Source organism: Homo sapiens, chromosome 4 (genome assembly GCF_000001405.40).
Source record: "Homo sapiens chromosome 4, GRCh38.p14 Primary Assembly".
Classification (NCBI taxonomy): domain Eukaryota; kingdom Metazoa; phylum Chordata; class Mammalia; order Primates; family Hominidae; genus Homo; species Homo sapiens.
In genome coordinates this window covers 19,768,672-19,791,062 of record NC_000004.12, presented here as the reverse complement: position 1 = coordinate 19,791,062, position 22,391 = coordinate 19,768,672, and the positions used below count along the sequence as shown (strand labels likewise).

General features: G+C 36.1%; 1 long non-coding RNA gene across 2 annotated transcripts in view, besides 2 other annotated features; it reads right to left on the bottom strand.

Annotated features, from left to right (window-relative positions):
- LOC105374511 (uncharacterized) overlaps window positions 1–22,391 on the bottom strand; it is a 482,145-nt gene that overhangs the window by 146,500 nt on the left and 313,254 nt on the right. The gene's annotated exons all lie outside the window — the stretch shown is intronic.
- Window positions 14,263–15,462: an enhancer, noted in NCBI's record as "CDK7 strongly-dependent group 2 enhancer chr4:19777224-19778423 (GRCh37/hg19 assembly coordinates)". NCBI's record gives its function as "activates an origin of replication core promoter dependent on BRD2, BRD4, P300/CBP, MED14 and CDK7 cofactors, with strong dependence on CDK7, by STARR-seq in HCT116 cells {active_cell/tissue: HCT116}" and the evidence as "EXISTENCE:reporter gene assay evidence [ECO:0000049][PMID:35650434]".
- Window positions 14,757–14,926: an enhancer, noted in NCBI's record as "experimental_77522 CRE fragment used in MPRA reporter constructs". NCBI's record gives its function as "activates a minimal promoter by MPRAs in K562 erythroleukemia cells, with activity observed for both the introgressed and non-introgressed 4:19777845 variant alleles {active_cell/tissue: K562}" and the evidence as "EXISTENCE:reporter gene assay evidence [ECO:0000049][PMID:34662402]".

Here is a 22,391-nt window from a genome sequence, read left to right as displayed (position 1 = left end):
AATGAAGATTCTGAAACCAAGGAATGTTAAGTGACTTGTGTCACACAGTTCCTGGGATGCCAACTTTGACTAAATCTCAGCTTCTGGGTTGTAGATGGCCAGAGATGATAATGGAGAAGAATATGTAAAGAGTGGAAGAAAGAGCTTTTTTTTCCCCTTTGGGTTTAGAGAGTTTGCCTGCTGTGTAGAGTTAAAATAGAGAGATGCCGATTTGTGGAAACTACCCTAATCATGGCAGAAAATGTATGCAACCTAATCTTACATATGAAATGAAATACTTTGAAGTGTTTTGAATCTGCAGTATTGTATCTATGCTGCTAGTGTCCAAGTGAATTACTGAAAACCAAACAATATACACAAGACAAAGGTACATTCATATCACAGAGGTAAAACCTCAAACATTATTGCAAAATACAGAAAACCAACTGCATGTGTGCTTACATGTGATTAAGCGTAGACCTCTCTGAATTTTCAGGATGTACTTAAAAACGCCTGATGCAGATGCTTCATATTCTGCATTTACCAAAAAAGAGGGTTAATACAATCAAATTTCTTTTGTGATGGAGACTTGAATAAAACAAGGTCACTAATTACAGGTATTGAACTGTTTTGCCTGACATATTGAAGGCTTTTGTGTGCTAAACAAGTGTCATTTTTGGAAAAATTTCCAACGAGAAAGAAATGAAGAAAAGTGGGAAAGATTGCATGAGAAAAGTGGGGTCTCCGTTCAAGCTCCCTAACCAACTAGAGAACCAGGCTGAGAGAATATATAAGCATTGATTAGATAACAGGAAAAAAAAGACTAATTCCATTTCCAAATATAAATAATTGCTTTTTGTTTTCCATAGCTTCAGGGAAGCCTAAAGCCAAGAGTAATTTATAATCTTACTTTCAATTACTTTTTCCCCCCAACATTTTGTAAGCATTATGTCTGTGCTTTCAATCAGACATGTTCAAGCAATAGCAAATTTGTCTCCAACTTAGAGAATTGTTAATTAAGGACCCAGATGTGTTTCACAGAGCAATGGAAGCTAAAATCAATGGGTGCCTAACCTGAAGGTTAGGCTCAGGCAATGCCAGAAGGAGCCAAATACATTCCCAGGCCTTGCTAATGAGACATTAAGTGAATGTTTGAAAATGATGCTGTAGCAGAATTACATAATATATACTAATCACATGGAAAAAACAAAAATATCAAAAAAAAGATCTTTATATACACCTACTCTCCATTTATTTTCTAACTCTGGAAAACATAACAATTTAATTCCTTTTGATAGTTCCCACTGGGACCCACTAGGTTTTTCTTGAAATTATAAAAAATGAAAAGTCATGTTCAAGCTTTATGCCTGAGGAGAAAAAGAAGAGCGTTTCCTAGACATTGGTTAAGAAGGAGAATAGAATCCCCTAATTTTCCCATGTCCCTTCCATCCTGGCCCACCTGCTTTCCGAGATTATATTGTCTGTTTAGCTGGGTTCCAGATCTATCTCAACCAGCATTGTCTTGCATTCAAATAGTGGCATGGAGGCATTATTCCTATAAATAATCTGACTCCTAAAGAGCCACTGTGCACTGGTTTAATCAAGGAGTGGGGAAGGAAGCTAATACTTGTTGGGGAGTAATTAGGTGCTGGGCACAGTGCTAGGCGCTTTCCATGTGCAGTCTAATCTATTCCTTAGAGCAATGTTTGTGCTCCATAATAGATCATATCCTACTCATTTTCAGAGAAAATTCCGGCTTAGAAGTTAAGGAACGTTATAAATTTTCAGCATTAATAAATGAAGACACAGGGTTTGATGCCAAGTTTGTCTGTCTTTGTGCTACCATGGGTAAAGTCAGGATATATTCCCAGCCTGACTGATTAAAAACCTATAATCTTTTTTTCTATGCCAAGTTGTCTCTTTTAGAAAGAAATTCTTGGTTATGGTTTTAATGATCTTCCTGAAACAGTGTAACTTCAGGCAATCTGTCTAACCTCAGAGAAACTTAATTTCTACATCAGTATGATTACAGAGTTGCTATAGGTGTTACCAAGGATTACCCTGAGCCCTTACTGGATTTATTTTCCTGCTATGTTGGCAATTTCTTCTTCTCATTCACATCACTTTGTTTTTCTCTTGCAATCTGATTTTGACAAAGTTAGGGAAAATGACAATTTTGCTGAAGGACATTTCAGCATAGCAAGAAACAAAGCTGAAGGGAAAGACTCAGAAAATCGGCAGGCATTTCTTTTTTAACATTTATAACTCTAGTTCATTTTTGAAGCTGGCTATGTATTTAAGTGGTTCATTAAGGATAATATAAATATTTTACTGTTTTTTTTCTATTAGAAAATAAATAGTTCTGTGGACACAGATTGTAAAGACACAAGCAAAAGATTGTAGGTATCTATATATACTACCTTTTATTACTTCATGGGTCTTTATTTATTTGATGCAAGCTTGCCAAAGATAATCAAAATATAAAAACAATAAAGAAAAGATTGAGAGTTATAAGAACTGTTTTAATATTATCTGCAAAGACTCCTTATGCTTCATGACTTGCTTAGGCTTAAATTATAAGGTAAAAGTTAAAGAATTGAGGATTTTATATCGATAAATTGGTGAATATACTTAAATTAGGTTAAAAAATCTACCTATGCACTGTTTACAACAGACCCATCTGAAATGAATTGTCACATAAATCTTGCAAGTAAAAAAAATCTACAAGATGATATATTAGCAAGATGAAAGCACAGAAATAAAATATAAGAAGCAATGGTAATATTAAATAACACAAAATTTAAGACTTTGGTCAAAATAGAGAAGCATATTTTTCATTGGAAAAATATAAAGAAAAGAGGATAATCCATGAATAATACAAGCAATAAAAATTAGAATTTGACAGATCAGATAGATTGTAAAACCATAAAGATATACAAGGTTACATTATAAAATTGACAAGGGTGACTTAATTTCTATTCATGGGAATTTGTACCCTATAAAAATGCATATTTTCTCAGTGACCCAGAAACGATCAGGTACCCCAAAATGATAAGTAAATAAATAACAACATGTAACTGGCTATAAAATAACCATTTCAATAAATTCCCAAGTGTTGAAAATTTAGAAGACTTTTTTCTTTGCTACAATTCAAAAAGCAGAGTCCTGTAAAATAATAAACCACATGTAAATGGTCTACAATAAAAATTAATTTAAATGAATAAAATAAGTATAAAATAAAATTGTAATTCCAAATTGCTCCAAATTGCTTAAAGTTTAGGAAAAATTAGTTCACATCATAAAATAAGCATATGACATGCATCTAAAACCATAGTCAGAAAAGAAATGAAAGCTTTGAATTATTTTATTAATAAATAAGAAAGACTAATAGATAATAAGTTGACATTGAACTAAAAACAATTTAAATGTAAGAAAGGAAAAAATAATAGGGATATCTAAATATTTCTGTAAATAACAGCAAAAATTATTATGAAAGAAACGTTAATAAAATTAAAACCTGGTCAAATCAAGTAGATAATTATAATTTTGCAAAAAGAGAGAAATATTTGCAACAGTAAAAATAAAGAGACATGAAATCCCACTAAGATATTATAAACAATTTTATGTAAACATTTATAAAAGTAAATAGAAATAATTTAATAAGGGGAGCAATATTTTAGGATAATATAAACTTTCAAAATAAATTCAAAGATATTATAGAGCATAGATTGTCATAGAAGATATATAAATGGTTTCAAGGCCTAAACCTAAAAATTTATTATCTCATGTGAATTTTCAGGTAAATGTTATCAGATCTTTTGGTAATAGACAATATATATGTTATAAAATCATTTCATAGCATAGACAAAGATAGATATCTTCCTAAGGTTACATAGCTTCATTCCAAAATATGATAAAGATGCCACTAAAAAGTTAAACTTTGAAGAAGTAATACTTATATAAATTTAAAACTATGAAATAAGAAAATAGCAATTAGGGAACTATAAATATAACATAGAAGTAGAGCTTATCTCAAAGTGCAAGGTAGTAACTTTAGGAAACCATGTAATAGACTCTAGTGATTTAGCATATTATGATATAAATAGAAAAACGTTAATAATATTCAACATTTGTTACTAATTATAAAAGTTTAAATAAATATAAGTAAAATAAAATTTGTCTAAAAAATTTAGAAAGGGTTTTAGACATCAACAAATACCATGGTAAATGTATTGAGACAGTCTAGTAAACTCAAAATCAAAAAGAAATGCTGGGTCTCATCACTATATCACTACTGTTTAGCATTACTCTAGACTATCTAGCTAAAAAAGAGGAAATATTACATGTCCTTATGGTTGATGATAGATCTCAGAAGTCAGTAACAGACTTTATTTTGGAATAGACATTTGTTACCTGAAAGACTGTGGGCAATTATTTAACTCTACTAAGCTTCCATTTCCTCATCTGTGGAGAAAGATATTGACCACTCTCTCATGAATGTTATGACGATGTAATCTAATAACACCAGTAAGGTGATTAGCAAAGTATCAGACACTTGAAAAATTTTAATTGATAATGACTATTAGCCATATTAGCCATTATCATCTCCATCATAGCTATCATTTTATTTTTTAATTTCAACCAAAAATTAATGATAGTCAATCAGATGACATGTTAGAAAAAATAAATACATGAATTCATGTTGTTTCATTTATGTTGGCAATGGCTAATTAGAATATATGTAGGAAAAACAAATCAAATCTAAAAAATACAAAACAAAGTAAAAATCAAAGATAAAATTATAAAATATGAAGATACGTATTTAATGTACACCTATATAAGACAATATTGAAAAATCTATAAAATGTTAATAAAGTATTTTAGATAAGTTTTTAATAACTGCACAATTATCTAGATGGGATGATGTCTCTCCATCTTAAATAATAAATAAATTATAATTCATTTTAAATTGTAACTCTATTTTTTGATAATTTTGCAAGAAATTTCACATTTCAGCTGGAAGAATAAATGTAAGAGAGTGCTCACGTAAATATGTAAAATTATGACAAATGAAGCCAAACTTATACAATAACAATAACCATAATTTATAAAACATTATCAAGAAAACAGTAATAGATAAGTACAGAAAAGTTTAGAAAAATAAATTGTAGAAAGTAAATTTAATAATCCAAAAACATAGCAAAGTATATGAATATTTTGAAAGATAAAAACATTTTATTAAAGTGGATAAATAATAGGATATTTAATAAGTTATTCTGGGAGAAACTGCTATACCTATTGAGGAAAATGACAGCTGTCTTCCACACAGCATGTACAAAAAATTAATTTTAACTAAATTAAGGCTCTCAAAGTTTACTTAAAAGGGTAAAAATTTAGCATGAGCTATAGGAAAGTATTTTTATAAGTTTTATCTTTTTTAAGCATGAGGTAGGTTCCAAAATTTTTCACAAAAATGATTAATAGTTGGCCAGGAACAGTGGCTCACGCCTGTAATCTCAGCACTTTGGGAGGCCGAGGTGGGTGGATCATGAATTTAGGAGTTCAAGACCAGCCTGGCCAACATAGTGAAACCCTGTCTCTACTAAAAATACAAAAAATCAGCCAGGCATGGTGGTGGGTGCCTGTAATCCCAGCTACTCGGGAGGCTAAGGCAGGAAAATTGCTTGAATCCAGGAGGTGGAGGTTGCAGTGAGCAGAGATCATGCTACTGCATTGCAGCCTGGGCAACAGTGTGAGACTCCATCTCAAAAAAAAAAAAAAAAAAACTGATTAACTGTTTTGACAAAGCAAAAAGTAGGTATTTTGCATGGCAGGAAATAATATAAGTTTAATATAAGTTTATACCCCCCCAAAAAAAATTTAAATGATAAAATATACTTCCAATGTATCACACAACATAGATCTATTATTGATAATATATTTTAAATCTGCAACTAATAAAGAAATACAAATGAAAAAACCCAGACAATTAGCATAAGAATAACCTAACAAACATGAAAAGAAACTAACTGATATGGTCTGGCTCTGTGTCCCCACCAAAATCTCATCTTCAATTGTAATCCAACTTTTAATCCCTATATGTTGGGGGAGGAAACTCGTGGGAGGTGATTGGATCATGGGCATGATTCCCCCATGCTATTCTCATGATAGTGAGTGAGTTCTCACAAAAACTGATGGTTTTATAAGGCATTTTTTCTCCATTGCTTGGTACTTCTCTCTCCTGCTGCCTGTTTGCTTCCCCTTCTGCCATAATTGTAGGTTTTCTGAAGCCTCCTCAGCCAGGCAGAACTGTGAGTCAATTAAACCACTTTTCTTTAAACTGCCTAGGCTCAGGCAGTTCTTTACAGCAGTGTGATAATGGGCTGATATAGTAAATTGGTACCGAGGTAGTGAGGCACTGATATAAAGATAACAGAAAATGTGAAAGCAACTTTGGAACTGGGTAACAGGCAGAGGTTGGAACAGTTTGGCGGGCTCATAATAAGACAGGAAGATGTGGGAAAGTTTGGAACTCCCTAGAGAATTGTTGAATGGCTTTGACCAAAATACAGAAAATGATATGGACAATAAAGCCCAGGCAGAGGTGGTCTCAGATGGAGATGAGTAACTTTTTGGGAATTGGAATAAAGGTGATTCTTGCTATGCTTTAGCAAAGAGACTGGTAGCATTTCACCCCTGCCCTGAGATCTGTGGAACTTTGAACTTGAGAGAGATAATTTGGGGTGTCTGGATGAAGAAATTTCTAAGCAGCAAAGCATTCAGGATGTGACTTGGGTGCTCTCAAAAGCATTCACTTTTATGCATTCACAAAGAGATGGTTTGGAATTGGAACCTATGTTTAAAAGAGAAACAGAGCATAAAAACTTGGAAATTTGTACCCTGACTACGTGGTAGAAATGAGAAAACCATTTTCTGGGGAGAAATTCAAGCCAGCTGCAAAAGTTTGCATAAGTAACAAGGAGTCAAATGTTAATCACCAAGACAATGGGGAAAATGTCTCTAGGACATGTCAGAGGGCCTCATGGCAGCCCCTCTCATCACAGGCCTAGAGGCATAGGAGGAAAAAATGGCTTCATGGGCCAGGCCCAGGGCCTTGTGGCTTCGTGCAATCTTGGGACTTGGGGCTGTCTGTCTCAGCCATGGCTAAAAGGGGACCACATATAGTTCAGGCCATTGCTTCAGAGGGCGTGAGCCCCAAGCTTTAGCAGCTTATACATGGTGTTGGGAGTGCAGGTGCACAGAAATCAAGAATTGAGTTTTGAGAATCTTGGTCTAGATTTCAGAGGATGTATAAGAATGCCTGGATGTCCAGGCAGAAGTTTGCTGCAGGGGCAAAGCCCTCATGGAGAACCTCTGCTCGTGCAGTGCAGAAGGGAAATATGGGGTTGGAGCCCCCACACAGAGTCTTCCCTGGGGCACTGCCTAGTGGAGCTGTGAGAAGAGTCCCATCATCTGCTAGGCCCCAGAATGGTAGATCCACTGACAGCTTGCACTCTGCACCTGGAAAAGCTACAGACACTCCATGCCAGCCTGTGAAAGCAGTCAGGAGGGGGACTGCACTCTGCAAAGTCACAGGGATAAATCTGCCCAAGACCATGGGAGCCCACCTCTTGCATCAGCATAACCTGGATGTGAGACACGGACTCAAAGCAGATCATTTTGGAACTTTAATGACTGCCCTATTGGATTTTGGACTTCCATGGGTTCTGTAGCTCCATTGTTTTGGCCAATTTCTCCCAATTTGAATGGGAGCATTTACCCAGTGACTGTATCCTTATTAGATCTAAGAAGTTACTAACTTGCATTTGATTTTACAGGCTCATAGGTGGAGGGTACTTGCCTTGTCTAAGATGAGATTTTGACTGTGGACTTTTTAGTTGATGCTGAAATGAGTTAAGGCATTGGGAGACTCTTGGGAAAGCATGATTGGTTTTGAAATGTGAAAAGACATGAGATTTGGGAGGGGCCAGGGGTGTAATGATATGGTCTAGTCCTGTGTCCCCACCCAAATCTCCTCTTGAGTTATTCAAATTGTAATCCCCAGGTTTGCAGGAAGGGACCTCCTGGGAGGTGACTGGATCATGGATGTGGTTCCCCAAAGCTGTTCTCATGATAGTGAGTTCTCACGAGGTCTGATGGTTTTCCAAGGGGCTCTTCCTCCATCACTGTGCACTTCTCACTCTGACTGCCTTGTGAAGGATGTCTTTGCTTCACCTTCTTCCATGATTGTAAGTTTCCTGAGGCTTCCCAAGCCATGCAGAACTATGAGTCAATTAAACTCCTTTTCTTTATAAATTACCCAGTGTTGGGCAGTTCTTATAGTAGTATGAGAATAGGCTAATGCACTAACACTCCATAACTATGAAAGAAAGACAAAATAAAGAAATAATAAAGAGAGGATTGTCATATACTGGTGAAATAAAATATTAGCTTTTGTAGGGGATTGAACTGTTCCCAAAAAAATATGTTCAAATTTTAACCCCTAGTACTGTGAATGTGACCTTATTTAGAACTAGAATTTCTGCAGATATAATTAATTTAAGGATCTTGAGATGAGATCATCCTGGATTTAGGGCCTACACTAAGCCTAATGACATGGCAGATATCCTAATAAAAGACAGAAAAGGAAAAGACATAGACACAAAGGAAGAAATTCATGTGAAGGCAGAGGCAGAGGTTGGAATGATGAAGCTATAATTCAAGATATGCCCAGGATTGCCCACAGCCACCAGAAGCTAGAAGGGAGGCATGAAACACCTTCTCTCTCAGAACTTCTAGAAAGTACCTGTCCCATTGACATTTTGATTGCAGACTTGTGGCCTCCAGAATAGTGAGGGCATGCATTTCTTTTGTTTAAGGAAACAGGTTTGCTGTAATTTGTTAGGGCAGCACAAGAAACTAACACAGATGGGAAAGATGCAGATTTTGCAAAGTTGAAAGAATACTATATTTCATGTTTAAATGTACAAAATTTAATATTGGAGAATAATTATGAAGGATAGTACCATAAAAATCTGTATAAGCATGACTCAGGTACCCCAACATTCATAATGATATGTAAATGGGAATATATAATAGCTATGTATGTAATAGCCAAACTCAGAAACAACCTAAAAGTCTCTCAAGAGGATAATGGCTTAAAAATTATAAAAACTTATAAAGAATTTTGTGTATCCAATAAAATAATTAGAAATATAAATACATTAACTTAGAAAGATATCTACAATTTATTATATTAATAGCAACTTACAGAGTTGACTGTTTTGTGAGACATACACATACAAATAATTATGTATTCATGTATGTGATTCTGTATATATGTATATTTTTTAATAAAACACATAAATATGTGAATATATACATATATGTGCTTATGGTTCTGTGCTTTGTAGAAACAGAGGAATTTGAAGGTTTGCACATGAAATTCTTAAAAGTGTTTATCTACAGAGATGATCTTGTCTTATTTTATATACAAAATAAGTAAAAGTAATCAACAATCAGCTTTCTTGCTCTGTGGCTTGCAGTTGGGATGGGTGGCACTCAAAGGAAATAGGAAGAGTGAGTTTAGAGAATTTATTTCAACATTTACTGCCCTGTCATGTCATCATTGGTTGACTGTGCCCCTCTATTAAAATTGGTTGACTGTCTCCTCTTCTCAAGCATCCCTTTCTATATAGATCTCTCCCTGGATTCCAGAATTGCTTCATTTTTGGCCTCTGTGGGCCTAAAAGTGGTAATGTACCTCTGAGAAAATCTCTGAAACATGGCACCATTCTTTATAATTCTTCCTAATTACTGACCACAGCTTTCCCAATAGTCATTGATCAAATTTCACTGACTCAACTGGTATATATCTCTGTTTCCTTTCTGTTGATTATCCCTGTCCAATATTCATTAACTTTACTTCTCTGACTTTGACCCCATATGGCTTAGGTGAGGCTGACACATTCCTAGATCCCCAGTTTGGCCAGTACGATTACTTTTTCCTCCAAACTACATTGACAGACTCAGAAGTAGGCCTATAACTTATCAAGCTGGGTGAGTCAGAAGCAAGCACAGGAATCCTGTTGTAGTTAAAGGAAAAGACACAGTCTCTTTCCATGGAGGTTGATCTTTCTCCTGGTACATGGATTGCTTAACACGGTGGCCCTTTTTTTTGGCTTTTTAATTTTTTAACTGACGTATAACACTTGTATATATTTATGAAGTAGAGAGTGATATAGGTATTCAATATGTAAATATCAATTCAGAGAAATTAACATATCCATCGCCTCAAACATTTATTATTTCTTTGTGTTGGGAAGTTGCAAAATAATCTCTTCTAACTGTTTGAAAATATATACTAAATTATTGTTAACTGTAGTCACTCTATAATACTATAGAAAATGAAAATTTATTCCTCCTATCTAGGTATAATTTTGTATCCATGAGTCGTTCTTTCCCTATTCCCCCTGCTCCATCCATTTCCCATCCTCTGGTGACAAGTACTCTACTCTCTACTTCTCTGAGCACAATAAAGACGACCCAGTGAAGAGGCAAGATGGCCGAATAGGAACAGCTCTGGTCTGCAGCTCCCAGGGAGATCAACACAGACGGCAAGTGATTTCTGCATTTCCAACTGAGGTACCCAGTTCATCTCACTGGGACTGGTTGGAAAGTGGGTGCAGCCCAAGGGGGGTGAGCCGAAGCAGAGTGTGGCATCGCCTCACTCAGGAAGCACAAGGGGTCGGGGAACTCCCTCTCCTAATCAAAGGAAGTCATTAGGGACGGTACCGTGCACTCTGGCCCAGATACTGTGCTTTTCCCACGGTCTTTGCAACCCACAGACCAGGAGATTCCCTCTGGTGCCTACACCACCAGGGCCCTGGGTTTCCAGCACAAAACTGGGTGGATGTTTGGGCAGACACCAAGCCAGCTGCAGGAGTTTATTTTTCATACCCCAGTGGCACCTGGAACACCACTGAGACAGAACCATTCACTCCCCTGGAAATGGGGCTGAAGCCAAGTGTTCTGGCACAGGGAGGGGAATATCACACACCAGGGCCTGTCGGGAGTTCGGGGGCTAGGAGAGGGATAGCATTAGGAGAAATACCTAATGTAAATGATGGGTTGATGCGTACAGCAAACCACCATGACAAGTGTATAACTATGTAACAAACCTGCACTTTCTGCACATGTACCCCAGAACTTAAATTATAATAAAAAATGAAAGAAGACCCAAATAAGTGAAATCAGAAATGAAAGAGAACACATTACAACTAATACTATAGAAATATAAAATATTATTAAAGACTATTATCAACAAAATGGAAAATGGAACAAAATGGAAACAAAACAAAACAAAATGGAAAATCTAGAAGAAATAAATTCATGGATACATATATCCTTCCAAGATTGAACCAAGAATAGTTAGAACACCAGAATAGACCAATGAGCCACGAGGTTGAGTCAGTAAGAACAAATCTCCCAACCAAGAAAAACCTAGGACCAAATGGCTTCATTTCTGAATTCTACCAAACCTTTAAAGAAAAACTAATACAAATTCTTCTCAAACTATTCCAAAAAACTGAATAGGAGAGAATTCTTCCAAACTCACAGTATGAGGCCAGCATCATCCTGATACCAAAACAAGACAAGGACACAACAACAACAAAACTACAGGCGAATGTCTCTGATGAACACAGATGCAAAAATCTTTAACTAGTAAATGGAATCCAATAATACATTTACAAGATTATACAACATAATCAAGTGTAATTAATTTCAGGGATGAAAGGATGGTTCAACATATGCAAATCAATAAACATGATACCTCACAACGACATAATGAAGGACAAAAAACATATGATTGTCTCAATAGATGCAGAGAAAGCATTTGATAAAATTTAACATCACTTCTTGATAAAAACTATCACATTAGATATAGCAAGTTCTCACTTAACATCATTTACTGGTTCTTAGAAACTGTGACTTTAGGTGAAATGACATATAGGGAAACCAATAGTTTTCTTAGGAATGTTATAACAATGTTGAATAAAATTACATAATTTGAGGACCTGCTGTATGTCATTTCACTTGAAGTTGCAGTTTCAAGAACCTTTCAATGATGTTAAGCACTTACTGTATAGAATGAATGTGCCTCAACACGATACAGGGCATATATGATAAACCCACTGCTAACATCATACTGAAAGGAGAAAAGTTGAATGTTTTTCCTCTAAGACCTGGAATAATGCAAGGAAGCTTGCTTTCAACACTCTTATTCAACATAGAATTGGAAGTTTTAGAACAATTAGACAAAAGAAGAAAATAAAGGGCATATGCATTGGAAAAAAGGAAGTCAAATTATCTCTGTTGCAGGCATAATGTTATGTATAGAAAAACCTAAAGACTCCAACAAAAAACTCTTAGAAATGATGGATATTTTTGTTATTACATGGGAAAAACCTAATTGGGAATAATGGCAAAGCAAATAAAGTCAGAACTGGGAAATGAAGATAAACATATTCCTAATAATATAATTTGACCACATTTATTTAGCCATACCTGCACCTTGACTATCCATGAACTCTCAAGTTATATGAGCCAATAAAACTTTCTCTTTCTTTTGTCTAATTTCAGTTGCAATAAAGGTATGATATGTAAATAATACAACTATCTTGTAACCTTGTTCTCTCAGCCCAGAGCAATGACTTATCCTCATGCTAGCCAGCTACGCATGTCATGAATTTGTGTGACACTCTGTTCTCAAATTGAAGTAATAGTTAACATCTAAAACAATGAGATCTATAGATTATTCAGTTTCTTCCTCTCTTAGAAATGCAAGCTAGGAACATGGAAGGATTTCACAGCTGATTGGAAGAAAGAAAAGAAAAAAGACAGTGGGTTTATAATTAGCTCTTATCTGGGTATTTTTGTGCCATATCACAGAGCCTGTGTGCTAACATTCCAGAGCTGCTGAGAATCTCAACGACTCTCCACTTTCAATCTCCATGAATGAGGACTGGACTTCCTTTAAAAATATATTGTTGAGTTTTTGCTCTTTTCTTTTCTTTTTTCTTTTTTTTTTTTTCAGAGTCTTGCTCTGTCGCCAGTCTGGAGTTCAGTGGCGTGATCTCGGCTCACTGCAACCTCCACCTCCCAGGTTCAAGCAATTCTCCTGTCTCAGCCTCCTGAATAGCTGGGACTACAGGTGTGCACCACCACACCCAGCTTATTTTTGTATTTTTAGTAGAGACAGGGTTTCACCATGTTGGCCAGGATGGTCTGGATCTCTTGACCTCTTGATCTGCCCGCCTCAGACTCCCAAAGTGCTGGGATTACAGGCGTGAGCCACCGCTCCCAGCCTCCTCTTTTATTTTCTTATGTGTGTTAATACAATGAAGTTCTGTTCAGTTGAACTGGTTTGTGTGGCTGTCTGATCATTTTATGAAAAAAATCATAGCTGAAAGATTTATTAATATAAAATCATGTTTATTTTATATTCTCTGAGAAAAGGTCTTTTAAAATAATATGATGTGGTGTCAAGTTTCCTTTTCTGTCTTTTTATTTCCTCCTCTAATTCTATCCAAGATCTCCTTGTATTGAAGTTGATACTTAAGTGAATATATATCTAGCTCAATACCATCTATATTTATACCGGTGCCTGTACTTATGCTGTTTTTTTCTATATACACATTGATATCTTCTTTTATATCATTAAAAAGTTGTTACCTCTGAGATCCAGTTCTGTCGCAGCAAGGGTTATGAATCCAAACTATTTGTCAATAAAACATAATCTGGCAACCAAAAAATAATTTACAATGACTCTTATGGACAATACTTTCCATATTTTTCTCAAATACCATACAGATATGTCATTCCACCTAACAATGCTTTTTTGAAAGCTCCCTTTCACTTTCATTTTCTTTCTGCACATTCCTCAGCTTTCTCTCACATCCATCTTCCAGAATATTCTCTTCAACATCTATCCTTCTCCAAACCAAAGCTTCTTCTGTTAGCCCTACCACTTTTCCTAATTAGTAAAACCTAAGGCCCAATGGGCTCATCTAGAGATAGAAGGACTTTCTCTGGAAGGCTGAACACAAGAAATGGAAGAGAAATGTGTGCTCCCAGGCAGAATTCTTTTTAACAGGAAAGGAAAATGTGAAGTCTGAGAATTCCTTGATTAATGTTTTTCTTGCCACATAAGTATCAATTTACCAGAAACTTTAGGAATATAAAGCAAAATTTAAAGTGTTTATTTTTAAATTGGGGTAATCTATATTTCTGATAACATATTTTCCACATTTTACAATAGGTATAGTTTTTTTAATATTTAAAAAATATAAAGTCATTGAACAAATTAATGAAAAGGCATAAACCTCCAAGCAAAGCAATACTGAAATCTTGAACATCCTTTGGATGTACGATGAGAAATGCAGCAACTTTCCTTTAGACTATTCCCCCTCCAGGTACACATCACTTACTGCTACTTCCCTTAGGATCCATTATTCTCCTAACCTAACCTGGATTTGCTATGTTTTGAAAATGGCACTGCATGAACTATAGCTTTTTCCTGATTCATTCTGTTCTTTGAAAAGGGTGAATGCAGAATCCACACACTCTGTTTCTCTCTGCATTAATGCTGTGCTTTGGTGTGACGCATTGAGTAGAGTCGTGGAGCATCTACCAGGTTGGTTATCCACCGCCTCAGCGGCAGGAGCCTCGTGCCCTCAGGAACTCTGTGGAGCCTTTATTTTTACTATGCCTTCATAAATTGGATAAAGTACTCTTTTGTGCCTTCTTCTTGGCGGAGAGCCTAACAAATGAAGGTTAAGCTTCACTGCTTCCAAAGAAAAGAAGAAAGATATTTCCTCAGTACTTGTGAAGGTCAGCGTGACTAGGTTCACATTAGTCACTATCAAGTAACAAGGAACTGTGAATAGATGCCCAGCTTCTGACTCACCCACCCGCTTATTCATTATGCACTTACAGACCACTTCAGCTCAGGTGCTGGGGATGGAAAGAGCAAGGCATCCTCACGTCCCAGGAGCGACTTTTAGAATAATGGGAAAGATAGGCATGAGGAGATGCAGCCCAAAATAACAATGCTTATGATGAAAATGAAAAAAGTAACACGTACTGATTTCTGTTTACCAAGTGCCGGGAACTGTTCCTAGCACTTTTCATATCTAATGTCACCTCTCAAGAACTAATGTGGCATCATTATTATTGTTATTATTTTCTTTTCTTTTTTCTTTTTTTGAGACGGAATCTCACTCTGTCGCCCAGGCTGGAGTGCAGTGGCGCGATCTCGTCTCACTGCAACCTCTGCCTCCCGGGTTCGAGTGATTCTCCTGCCTCCGCCTCCTGGGTAGCTGGGACTACAGGTGTGTGCCACCATGCCCAGCTAATTTTTTGTATTTTTAGTAGATACAGGGTTTCACCATGTTAGCCAGGATGGTCTTGATCTCCTGGCCTCATGATCTGCCTGCCTCGGCCTCCCAAAGTACTGGAATTACAGACATGAGCCACCGTGCCCAGCCTATTTTCTTCATTTGATAGAGAAAAAAATGAAATCCAAAGTGTCAATGACTCATTCAAGGTCACACAATAATAAGTAGTACAGCCAAACTTCAGACTCTACATTTCTAATTCCAGTATCAGTGATAAAAGCTCAAATAACAGCATGAGTCCAGTACTTCAGGATCCCAGAGAAGTAGGCCAACCACCTGGAAAAGGCGAAGAAGTTTTGACCAAAGATGTGAATGTTCTAGTGGGGCTTGTAAATAAACCATTTTTCACATAAAGATGTTGTAGTAGAAGTGGAATTGTGATGAGTAGGAAAAGGGATCCAAGCATTCATTTACTATCTACACCATAGACTGCATACTGCCAGCCTGTGAGATGAACCCTCTGAAAATATAGTTTGTTTGACCACCAACAACACCACAAAATGTTTTTGTTGTTTATTCTGAGGATTGCAGGACGGTTGGGAATTTGTTCCAGCCCCTCTGCTGGTCTGCTGTGTGGCTAAGTCCATGAGTTCTCTCTCTGGCCTTTATTTTCTCACCCAATTATTTACTTTAGAATCAACTTAAGATATAATGTGCATAAAATAAACTTCAGCAATTGAAAGTTAAAATTTGTTTAGAATTGACAGAGTGACTAAGAGACAGGACATTCCCATATTCTCCAGGGGGTTACTCCTGCCCTCCAACCCTGGCCCCTGGAAACCACTGAAATTCCTTTTTGTTCCTGCTTTGTATGATTCTATATACTTCTAGATGAAGTATTTCATATGTAGTTCTATAGTGATAGTTCTATAATTTTACGTAAATGGAATCATGTAGCATGCCATAATTTATGTCTAGTTTTAATCAGTCAGTATAATGTTTTTTAAGATTTATTCAGGTTGTGCCTATATCAGCCGTTAATTCCCATTTTCATGGAGGAAATTTTTCCACTACCACATTGGAGTTGCCTGTAGGTATTGTCTACTATAATAAAGCTAACATGAATATTGTGCACAAGTCTTGTGTGGACGTATGTTGTCATTTCTTTTGTATGAACATATTTCTTAATTTTTTTCCAGAAACTGTTTTGCAGTGTAGTTATATAATTTTCAACAGTGGTGTATGAGAGTTCTGTTCAGTCCACACTGTTGCCCACCCTTGGTCTTGTGGTCTTGTCAGTCTTTTACATTGTAGCCATTGTGATAGAAATATTTGGTTAAACACAATGCTTTAAGTATTTTTTTAAGCTTGTATTCCATTGCTCATGGCTTACCACTACAGTATTTTTTCCCTGTTTCCTTCCTTCCTTCCTTCCTTCCTTTCTTCCTTTTTTCCTTCCTTCCTTTACCCCTTCCTTTTTCTTTTGTTCATTTGTCCGTTCACTCTTTCTTTATTTCTTTCTTTCGTTTTTCTTTTCTATTTATTCTCAACATTACGTACTGGCTGATGCTAAAGTGCCAAACCATTCTACTACCTGCCTGGCCCTGAAGCCATTTATAGCAGGAGTTTTACACATATTATATTATTTTAACTTCCTAGAAAATATTGTATTCTCATCAGTACTCTAAAAAGTAGGTATTAGCAAGCCCCATTCACAAATGTGGAGGTAAAAACTAAGAAAATGTAGAGGTTAAGTCACACACTTAAAAATAGAAGGCAGCATATAAATCAAGTTAGTCTGATTTCAAAATTGAGTGTTGGCCTTGAGAAAGCAGGAATGACAGATGCGAAGATAAAGCACTAGAGAGAGGACCAGCATATCTGGAGGGTTGTATTGATTGTATGAGTCTTTCGGTAGTACTTACGGCTAGTTAGGGTCAGTTATATAATTGGGTAAGTAATAACACAACATCCTTTGTTTAAACAGCAGAAAAAGTTTAGCTAAAAGTATTAGAATATAGAACGTTTTTCTTTTTTCCACAATATCCCTCTCAACATGTATAGTATTTTATTTGCGACTTATTGTCATTCTAAATAAAGAAAAAATACATTTTAAAATATTAGCATAGATTTTTTGTCAATTATAGTATATAGTGCCAGTGTTAACTGAAATATAATAACATTTACTTCACATGTGGAATCACTGATATTGCATAATATATATTTTGTAGGTCATACATGCATATATATGTCATTTTTATCAGAACAGTAGAAATGCTACACGAAACTAATGCAACTGTTTTTATTTTACTTTTTGACAAATACACATTCTACCAACACTCTCTACCTTCAGCACACTGATAAAGACTTTCAAAAAAAGGAACTATGGGTGCCCTGTGTTTTCGTTTCTCTTTATGTCATAATTTTCATCATAAGTGGTTGGCTAGTGTGAGGAAGGAATGGCATAAGAAAGAATATGATAATTTCTTGGTACTTTGTGTTTCTTGGAATGCCATTGCTTTCTTTCTGCTAGAAGAGAGTTCTGGTTTGAAGAAACAACATGGCCTCTTTGGGCTGTCAGTGCCCCATTTACTCAGTATAAAAGTAACACTCTTACCTCATATTTGCTTTGAGACTTGAGTGCCCCGACATCATGGGTCCATGGGAATTCTGTGCTCATGGTTGTGAGGGTGCATGGCAAGCACTATGTTCAAGTGAACTGGCAAGTAGTGGTGGACAGTTATATTCATGTATATCCTCTGCTCATGCACACTCTCTATTGTCCCATAGTACTTCATTTACAAACATACTTTCAAAGATAAAATTATTAAGAACATTAAGATAGTAATATTACAGCATTAAAGCAAAAGGGGGGCCGTTCTAAGCATCAGGCCTTGTGCAACTGTACTGATGAAATACCCATGAAACCAGCTCTCTGTATAGTAAAGAAACAAGAGATAAGAACAGTTTCTATAAATATTGTTTTTACTCAACTGTTCATTTAATTAATAGTTATTAAACACCTAAAATATGCCAAACATAGTTTCAGGTGCTTAGGATACATTAGTGGAAAAGAAAAAATTTTTTCTTTGCTTTCTTGGGACTTACTTTCTATATTTCTTTGATGAATCAAGCAGATATGAAAAATTCGAACCATCTATTCTTACTGGGAAGAGTATTACTAACTATAGCTCAACTAAAAAGAAACAGACTCTTTTACAAAATAAATCTCATTATATTACTGGAGTTTTCTTTTTCTTTTTCTTTTCTTTTTTTTTTTTTTTTTTTTTTTGAGACTAATCTCACTCTGTCGCCCAGGCTGGGGTACAGTGGCACAATCTTGGCTCACTGCAGCATTTGCCTCCCAGGTTCAAGCAATTTTCCTGCCTCAGCCTCCCGAGTAGCTGGGACTACAGGCATACCCCACCACACCTGGCTAATTTTTGTATTTTTAGTAGAGGTGGGGTTCACCATGTTAGCCAGGCTGGTCTTAACTCCTGACCTCAAGTGATCCACCCGCCTCAGCCTCCCAAAGTGCTGGGATTACAGGCGTGAGCAACCGCGCCCAGGCATTACTGGAGATTTTAAAGATGATTGCACAGGTTGGAATCCACTTAATACGTAAATGAGGATTAAGAGTTTTTTGCTATTTTGATTGTTTTCCTGGTTTACAATGCTAAAATAAATAATCAAGTAATTCACTTAAAGACTTATACACTATTTGTTTGTTTTATGTTATTTTTCCTTCCCAGAAGTCTGGGTAAGTACAGACCTCTACTTGAATTTCTCCTAAATATACTACATATTTTGGTGAAACAAACATAGTATACTCTTCATCAATTTTCCACAGAAACTTGCAACTAAGAAGGGCTGCATTCCATAATTAATAAATCACAGATTATGGTCACCATTTTGGCAATCTATTTTTCAACAAGACAAGATAAGCCATTAAGAAATGATCTGCCTTGGCAACCTTAAGGAAAGGGCATGGAGAAAATGGTGCTTTTCTCAAGCCCAGAACTTCTCCAGATTAGCATGTTCACATTCACATGGAGGACTGAAGTACAGATTGTTGCAGCCAACCTGCAGTTTCTGATTTAGCAGTGTGTCCGGAATTTATTCCTTCTTGTGGGTTCTTGGTCTTGCTGACTTCAAGAATGAAGCTGTGGACCCTCGCGGTGGGTGTTACAGCTCTTAAAGATGGTGTGTGCGGAGTTTGTTCCTTCAGATGTTCAGATGTGTCCGGAGTTTCTTCCGTTCCGTGGGATCATGGTCTGGTTGACTTCAGGAGTGAAGCTGCAGACCTTTGCAGTGAGCATTACAGCTCTTAAAGGTGATGTATCCAAAGTTATTTGTTCATCCCCGTGGGTTCATGGTCTTGCTGACTTCAGGAATGAAGCTGCATACCCTCGTGGTGAGTGTTACAGCTCATAAAGTTAGTGCGGACCCAAAGAGTGAGCAGCAGCAAGATTTATTGTGAAGAGCGAAAGAACAAAGCTTTCACAGCGTGGAAGGGAACCCAAGCAGGTTGCCTCTGCTGGCTGGGGTGGCCAGCTTTTATTCCCTTATTTGGCCCCGCCCATATCCTGCTGATTGGTCCATTTTACAGAGTGCTGATAGGTTCATTTTACAGAATGCTGACTGGTCTATTTACAATCCTTTAGCTAGACACAGGGCACTGATTGGTGCGTTTTTACAGAGTGCCGATTGGTGTGTTTACAGTCCTTTAGCTAGACACAGAGCACTGATTGGTGCATTTTTACAGAGTGCTGATTGGTGCATTTACAATCTTTTAGCTAGACACAGAGTGCTGATTGGTGCATTTTTACAGAATGCTGGTTGGTGCATTTACAGTCCTTTAGCTAGACACAGAGTGCTGATTGGTGTGTTTACAATCCTCTAGCTAGACAGAAAAGTTCTCCAAGTACCCACCCAACCCAGAAGCCCAGCTGGCTTCACCTCTCAGTAGGTCTGGGGTGGAGTTTGAGAATTTGTATTCTCAAAAAATGTACACATGATGCAAATGCTCCTGATTCATAATAAATAGACCATCTTAACTGTTGAATGTTAGAAGGCAGAGGGTCTAAATTTCCTTCCTCACTTGAAACTCATATAGGTTTGTTTATACACATTGTTATGAGCTTGGAATCAAAACATTATTTCTGCCAGCTGAGGGACAGACCAAGACTAAGCTGCAGCTATCATTTTTACCCTTGTCTCTCTATTCAACTGTGTGAATATGTGTGTCTGTGGGGTGGGGCAATAGGGGGACATAGAACATGGGAAGATAGAGCATATTTGAGTCAGAGAGAGTAGACAATACTGATGAGTGTTTGTGTTTGTGTGTTTGTGTGTGTTTTTATAAAGAGATCAAAGTAGAGGATGGAGAAAGATAAAGAGTAACAAACAAAGGGGAGAAAAAAAGGAAGAGACAGTCACACAAAGGGATAGGAAGGAAAGAAGTCCTAAAAGGGGAGCTCCACATAATCTCAGCAGCTCCACTTAGGAAACAAACAAACAAAAAATTTAAGTAAATATAGCAAAAATATTGTGATTAGTTCATAATTATCTTATACAATCTAATAAAAAGTAAGCTATTATTGTTATTGTCTCAGACACATTACTTTATTTCATTTATGTCATATCATGGTCCTTTACAATACATCTTTCTAGCTCCTTAAAGAGATGTGAAAATGAAATTTAGAAGAGGTTGAGTGACCCACCTTGAGTCACTAAGTCAGAAAACAACTCAAGTAGTACTGAAAACAGGACACTTTGGTTAGATTTAACTAACTTTTACATAGGAAAGTTTCAAATTGGTTTTTTAAAAAAGTTGAACACTGAAGTAATGTTTTCCACTTAAAAAATATTTGTTATGAATAAAACTGTCCTATTGGTATTATAGTTATCCTTTTGTATTTTTCCAAGCAACAACTGAGAAATATTTAATCACAAGATCTGATGAAGTTAAAAGTGATGCAGCTAGATGAGACCTCCAGAAATTACTAAGGGGAAGGAGGTCAAGTGAAAACATTTGGCACCTAAGGAGCCCCTTGTTTTGCTGGTCATTTTTCAAATATATTTTCTGTGTTGCCTTGGCCTTCTAGAAATTCTAATACATCATCACAATTTATTTGGTTCAATAGTCAAATAACACCTCAACCTAAAATTGAAAAAAATTAAGTAGAGTAAAATAACTAATATATTAAATTAAAATGTAAGTTTTCTCTTGAGAATTTCAAGATACTTCTAATAATAAACCAAGCTTATATTTAATAATTGTTTATCAGTCTTCATGTAAAAATTTCATTGTATAAAATTTCTGCTGAGAAAGTAACACATCCTTATTTAGGAAAAAAATATAAAACACAGAAAAATAAAAGGAGAAAATACTAGTACAGTAGTGTTCCCTTATTCATGGTTTCATTTTCTGTGGTTTTAGTTACCTGTGGTCAACAACAGTGTAAAAATATTAAATGGAAAATTCCAGAAATAAGCAATTCATAAGTTTTAAATTGTGTGCCATTCTGAATAATATGAAGAAATCTTGCAGTATCCAGCTCTGTTCACCAGCAACATGACTTAACTTTTTTCCCAGCATACCCATGCCTCTATATATCACCCATCCATCAGGCACTTGGTAGCTGTCATGGGATCAGAGTGCTTGTTGTGTTTAAGCAACTTTTATTTCACTTAATATGGCCACAAAGGTGATATTAAAAATTTGAATGTGAGAAAGAGAAGCCATAAAGTGCTTACTTCAAATAAAAAGGTGAAAGTTCTTGACTTAGTAATAAAAAATCACTGTATACTGAGGTTGCTAAGATCTCTGGTAAGAACCAATCTTCTATCCATGAAATTGTGAAGTTGAAAAGAGAAATTTTTGTTAATTTTGTTGCCAAACATCAATCTTTAAAAATTATGGCCACAGTTTGTAATAAGTGCTTAGTTAAGATGGAAAATGCCTTAAATTTGTGTGTGGAAGATATGAACAGAAATGTGTTCCAATTGACG